Source organism: Homo sapiens, chromosome 1, assembly GCF_000001405.40.
Source record: "Homo sapiens chromosome 1, GRCh38.p14 Primary Assembly".
Classification (NCBI taxonomy): domain Eukaryota; kingdom Metazoa; phylum Chordata; class Mammalia; order Primates; family Hominidae; genus Homo; species Homo sapiens.
This window is the reverse complement of record NC_000001.11, coordinates 67,542,077-67,549,250: the sequence shown is the minus strand read 5'-3', so window position 1 is coordinate 67,549,250 and position 7,174 is coordinate 67,542,077.

The window sequence follows — 7,174 nt, the reverse complement described above, 5'->3', positions numbered from 1 at the left end:
CAGCAACGGAACAAAGCTGGACGGAGAATGACTTTGATGAGTTGAGAGAAGAAGGCTTCAGATGAACAAACTACTCTGAGCTCCAGAAGGAAATTCAAACCAAAGGCAAAGAAGTTGAAAACTTTGAAAAAAATTTAGACAAATGTATAACTAGAATAACCAATACAGAGAAGTGCTTAAAGGAGCTGATGGAGCTGAAAGCCAAGGCTCGAGAACTACGTGAAGAATGCAGAAGCCTCAGGAGCCGATGCGATCAACTGGAGGAAAGGGTATCAGTTGTGGAAGATGAAATGAATGAAATGAAGCAAGAAGGGAAGTTTAGAGAAAAAAGAATAAAAAGAAATGAACAAAGCCTCCAAGAAATATGGGACTATGTGAAAAGACCAAATCTACGTCTGATTGGTGTACCTGAAAGTGACGGGGAGAATGGAACCAAAAACACTCTGCAGGATATTATCCAGGAGAACTTCCCCAATCTAGCAAGGCAGGCCAACATTCAGATTCAGGAAATACACAGAACGCCACAAAGATACTCCTCGAGAAGAGCAACTCCAAGACACATAATTGTCAGATTCACCAAAGTTGAAATGAAGGAAAAAATGTTAAGGGCAGCCAGAGAGAAAGGTCGGGTTACCCACAAAGGGAAGCCCATCAGACTAACAGCGGATCTCTCAGCAGAAACTCTACAAGCCAGAAGAGAGTGGGGGCCAATATTCAACATTCTTAAAGAAAAATATTTTCAACCCAGAATTTCATATCCAGCCAAACTAAGCTTCAAAAGTGAAGGAGAAATAAAATCCTTTACAGACAAGCAAATGCTGAGAGATTTTGTCACCACCAGGCCTGCCCTAAAAGAGCTCTTGAAGGAAGCACTAAACATGGAAAGGAACAACAGGTACCAGCCACTGCAAAATCATGCCAAATTGTAAAGACCATCGAGGCTAGGAAGAAACTGCATCAACTAACGAGCAAAATAACCAGCTAACATCATAATGACAGGATCAAATTCACACATAACAATATTAACTTTAAATGTAAATGGACTAAATGCTCCAATTAAAAGACACAGACTGGCAAATTGGATAAAGAGTCAAGACCCATCAGTGTGCTGTATTCAGGAAACCCATCTCACGTGCAGAGACACACATAGGCTCAAAATAAAAGGATGGAGGAAGATCTACCAAGCAAATGTAAAACAAAAAAAGGCAGGGGTTGCAATCCTAGTCTCTGATAAAACAGACTTTAAACCAACAAAGATCAAAAGATACAAAGATGGCCATTACATAATGGTAAGGGGATCAATTCAACAAGAAGAGCTAACTATCCTAAATATATATGCACCCAATACAGGAGCACCCAGATTCATAAAGCAAGTCCTGAGTGACCTACAAGGAGACTTAGACTCCCACACAATAATAATGGGAGACTTTAACACCCCACTGTCAACATTAGACAGATCAACGAGACAGAAAGTTAACAAGGATACCCAGGAATTGAACTCAGCTCTGCACCAAGAAGACCTAATAGAGATTTGGGTTTTAAAAAAATCCTCTCTGGCTGCTATATGTAACAGATTAGAGAACAGCAAGAATGGATGTAGGGCCAAGGCAGGCAGATCACATGGGGTCAGGAGTTCGAAACCAGCCTGGCCAATATGGCGAAACCCCATCTCTACTGAAAATAAAAAATTATGGCTGAGAGTGGTGGCTCATGCCTGTAATCCTAGCACTTTAGCACTTTGGGAGGCCGAGGCGGGCAGATCATCTGAAGTTGAGAGTTCGAGACCCACCTGACCAATATGGAGAAACCCCATCTCCACTAAAAATACAAAATTAGCCAGGTGTGGTGGCGCATGCCTCTAATCCCAGCTACCCGTGAAGATGAGGCAGGAGAATCGCTTGATCCTGGGAGGTGGAGCTTGTGGTGAGTCAAGATCCTGCCATTGCACTCCAGCCTGGGCAACAAGAGCGAAACTCCATCTCAAAAAAAAAAAACAAAAAATTAGCCGGGCGTGGTGGTGGGCGCTGTAGTCCCAGCTACTCAGGGACATGGATGTATACATATGCCCTGTGCATCAAATTATATATTTTAAATAAATGCAGGGTTTTGTATAGCAATTATACTTTAATCTAGCTATAAGGAGAAGAAAGAGAAAGAGAAGAGGGGGAGGAGCAGGAGGAAGAGGAAGAGGAGGAGGAGAAGGAGCAGCAGCCATGGAAACAGCCTTGGAAAGAGATACTTGTAGGTCACAGTGTTGGGGATAGGGCAGGGTGAATATGTGGGCCAGCATGTATGTCCCAATGCCTAAAGCCCACCAAACTCTAGTTGGCATGCTCGGCCTCATGGAATTCCGGACACTTACGTCAATTCTCACTCTGTGCCATTGAGACAATATTAAAAATAAAAATTCTCAATATTTAGAATACTGAGAAAATAATTCCTCGTAAGACTTCTTACAGGACCTGTCTCTGGCTTGGAGAAGTCAAGTAGGGAATTCTAGCAAAATTACCCATCAGACTTGCTCAAATGGGGTATGTAAACCTAGCTTTCCAAATTTGGAGCTGAGAACCAGCATATCCTAATGACATTCTCTGGCAGTCGGTTAAACTGGTTGTTACAAAGACTAAATAGAGCAGCTATGGTGTTAACCACCACCCCCTCCATAAAAATGGATGCGGAAGATCCAGTTAGAAGGCTTATGTAGTAGTCTAGGCAGGAGACTCCGGGGTCTTGGACTAGGGTGCTGGTGGTGAAAATGCAGAGCAATGTGCATAGGGAGAACTCTTCAGGAGGCATTGAACTGGCAGAACTTGATGATTATCCAGTGAGGCAGTGGGAGGGAGTGCAGAGGAGGTGAAAGGGAGAGGAGGTGTGGATGACACCTCCCAATGTCTCTTCCTTGGGTATCGAGGCAGCAGGTGGTGTTATCCTCTGGATAGGAAATCCAAGAGGAGGAACGAGTTTAGAAGGCAGTGAATTCCAGTTTTGTTTTGGTTTTGTTTTTGTTTTTGAGATGGAGTCTTGCTCTGTCTCTCAGGCTGGATTTTTTTTTTTTTTTGAGACAGAGTCTCTGTTGCCCAGGCTCACTGTAACCTCCACCTCCTAGGTTCAAGCAATTCTCATGCCTCAGCCTCCTGAGTAGCTGGGATTACAGGTGCCCACCACGACCACGCCTGGCTAATTTTTGTATTTTTTAGTAGAAATGGGGTTTCACCATATTAGCCAGGCTGGTCAAAAAGTGATCCACCCACCTCAGCCTCCCAAAATGCTGGGATTACAGGCATGAGCCACTTCGCCAGGCCATGAATTTCTTTTGAACATGTCGAGTTTGTGATGCCAGGCCAATATCCAGATGGCAATGACAAGTAGGTGGTTGGACACATGGATCTGGGCTCAGAAGACAGATCTGATGTGGAGATATAAATGTGGGAGGGGTCACCGTATAGGTGGCATTAAAAGCCATGAGAGTGGATGAGATCACTCAGGGAGACACTAGAGTAAAAAGAGAAAATTAAATCTGACAGGAGCTGGAGTCCAGAAAAATTCTTCATGACACCATTGTCAACAGGAACAAAGGCTGAGGGAGAGCATGGAGATGATCCGTCATGCCCAGCAGTGATTCTTCCATGTGGAGCTTGAAGCTTATGGGATCTGCAATGGATGAAGGTCAGCCAAGCAACTTGGCAAGGCAGCCTCAGGGGGAGAGAGAATTGCATGTTTATGCCCTGATAACCCTTAAATCAGTCAATAGCCATGAGGAACAATATTGGAACTCTGAACTTCTCTTGGGTAAAATGTCCCTCCTGTCCTCCTCTTTGCTGTTTTTGCAGCTTTGAAATGCTGTACACCCACAGAGTTGACTTCAAAAGCTGAGGAAATTGAATTTCTCAGACATTAAAGGGAGTCTGGGCTTTGAATGCCAATGCATGCATTGAAGGGCTAACCCAGGAAATTGAGTTGGTTCAATATGAGCTGCCCACAACCAGCAAACCATCTAGCATCTCATCCAGTTGTTGAGTCTCACAGTCCCTAAACTGAATTACATAATCTCAGGAGATTTATTAAGAGGTATTTGTCAATCTAATAGCACAAAACCAAGGAGAGCCAGATTCTGAACTGAGGTTGATAGGTTTACACAAGGCATGACTCAGTTATCTTTTCCTTGCAAGCTCCCTATTAAAATGCGTGGTCAACTGAAACCTATAAATGCTGTAAGAAGATTAGCTTGTACCTTAAAAGTGGCAACCTATAGAAAATAAATTGTTAAAATCTTTATATATGTATCTATACACATAGATACATATATATGCACATATACAGATCTAAGCTTATATCTATATGGATATGTAGATGTGTAAAAACAATTTTTGTAAATGAGAAAAGCATTAGTGGGAGTGAAGTCCCAAATTCTAAGTCTTCCCCATAATGCCTCCTCCTTTGCACAATTTATCATAATGTGTGTAATGTGATGTGTGTGTGTGTGCATGTATATGCACACACACATCCAAAGAAGAAAGTATGTCTTAAACAATGACAAAGATGTGGCAAATTATCTTTTTTCCTGTAAAAGAAAAAAAAAGAAAAGAAAAGCACTTACCTCTGTTCCTAGTGCACTTACTGGAGAGAAACAAGACTATCTGAAGAAGGTAGCATCTGAGCAAGACCTGAGAGGTGGCCTGGGGTTCCTGTAGCTGAGGAGTAGCAGGAGACAGCATTCTAATGGAAGGGACATCTTGAGCAGAGGTGGGAAAAGGTATCAAGATCCTTGGGAAGCATCAGGCTTTCCCTAGATCATCAGATACAGCTTGGAAAGTAATGGAAGATAACATGGAAAAGCAGGTTGGGGCAGAGTCGTATCATGGAGGGTCTAGAATTTCAGGTGAAATAATTTGTTTGTTTGCTTTTATTTTTTTGTTTCATTTTGTTTTAGAGAAGGGGTTTCGCTATGTTTCCCAGACTGGTCTCAAACTCCTGAGCTCAAGTGATCCACTCACTTTGGCCTACCTAAGTGCTGAGATTACAGGAGTGAGCCAGTGCACCCAGCCTGGTCAAGTAATTTGGACTATATCTATAGAAAATGGGGAGTGGAAAACATTTAAAAGGGTTTCAACAGGAGAGTAACACGATCCAAGTTATGCTTCGGGAGGACTAATTTGGCCACAGGGTGGGGAGAAATTAGAAACGGAAAATACAGGAGGCTGTAATACCACGCCAGGCCTGAATTTAAAATAGTGATGTTAATGAAGATCTATTGACATAGAAAGATGCTTGTAATAAAATCTGAAGCTTATTTAAGTCATTGCAAATTGACATATATTATATAATCTCATTTTTATAAACATACATATACATACCTATACCAGGTATATCTGCAGAAACAAAGCCTGCAAGAAATCCACACAAATATAAACCCTGGTTATTTCTGGTTGGTGGGATTATGGATGACTTTCAGTTTTCATTTGACTTCGTTTATTTTATATTATTTTCTACAATGAACTAAAAATTATTGTTTTTAAGAAAAAATACAGGCTGGGAGTGTTGGCTCATGCCTGTAATCCCAGCACTTTGGGAGGCCAAGGCGGGTGGATCACCTGAGGTCAAGAGTTTGAGACCAGCCTGTCCAACATGGTGAAACCCCATCTCTAGTAAAAATATAAAAATTAGCTGGGTGTGGTGGCACATGCCTGTAATCCTAGCTACTTGGGAGGCTGAGGCAGGAGAATCACTTGAACTCGGGGGGCGGAGGTTGTGGTGAGCCAAGATCGCACCACTGCCCTCCAGCCTGGGCAACAGATAAATAAAAAATAAATTTAAAAAAATACGGGGGGTGTGGTTGCTCATGCTTATAATCCCAACACTTTGAGAGGCCAAAGCCGGTGGATCACTTGTGCTCAGGAGTTCAAGACTAGCCTGGGCAACATAGTGAGACCATGTCTCTATGAAAAATACAAAAATTTGCTGGGCATGATGGTGCACACCTGTAGTTCCAGCTACTCAGGAGGCTGAGGTGAGAGGATCGCTTGAGTTCGGGAGGCTGAGGCTGCAATGAGCCAAGATCATGCCGCTGCACTCTAGCCTGGGTGACAGAGCAAGACTCTGTCTCAAAAAAAAAAAAAAGAGAGAGAGAGAGAGATGGAATCTGCCTCTATCAACCAAAAGTCTGTCAAAATGTTTTCCTAAACAATAGAAGTTAGACTGTGGCTCTTTCCTCATTTAATAGCCCAGACTGGAGGTCATGATGACCTAAGCAAAGGAGGCAACCACCGGACAGGAAGGACACAGTCTCTTCCTTCCGAGGTTCCTCAGCAGAGTCAACCCTGCCACTTAAGAACCATAAAATCTGGCTTGGGTGAAAAATGCCAACAGCTGTGAAGCTGGCCTTAAAACTGGACCACTCACAGGCTGAGAACATTTTATTATCAGAAGAGTTCTTAGGATTATTGAGACCAACTGCACCATTTAATAGCAGTGAAAAATAGTGCTGTGAATGTTAAAAGACTCTTTAAACTCTAAAGCACTTTTTTAGTTCAGTGGCAATTAACTCAAGTTGTATCAGAATCACCACACACACCCCAGCCCCACCTCACCCGATGACTGTCCTTCATTTGCAGCAAATAATTTATTAAGCTCTTGCAGTATACCAGGCACTGTTCTAGGTATGAAAGACAGATTGAGTGGAGCCAGGCATGGTGGTTCATGCCTGTAATCCCAGCACTTTGTGAGGCTGAGACAGGTGGGTCACTTGAGGTCAGGAGTTCAAGACCAGCCTGGCCAACATGGTGAAAACCCGTCTCTTCTAAAAATACAAAACTTAGGCAGGTGTGGTGGTGCACACCTGTAATCCAAGCTACTTGGGAGGCTGAGGAGTGAGAATCACTTGAACTCGGGAGTCGGAGGTTGCAGTGAGCCGAGATCACGCCACTGTACTCCAGCCTCGGGGACAGAGCAAGACTCTGTCTCAAAAAAAAAAAAAAAAAAGAGAGATTCAGTGGGTCAGGGCTTTTCAATTTCATATCCTGGAAGACACTTGCCACACTTTCTTCTTTCCCCTGTTCTTCCTGCTCACCTCCTCTGGCTTCTGGAAAGCGACCTTCACAACAGTTGAGATCTTTATTAACTGTTTTCCATGCTGTATGCAGGACCTAGAACAATTGCCTATGCCATAAGTTCTCAG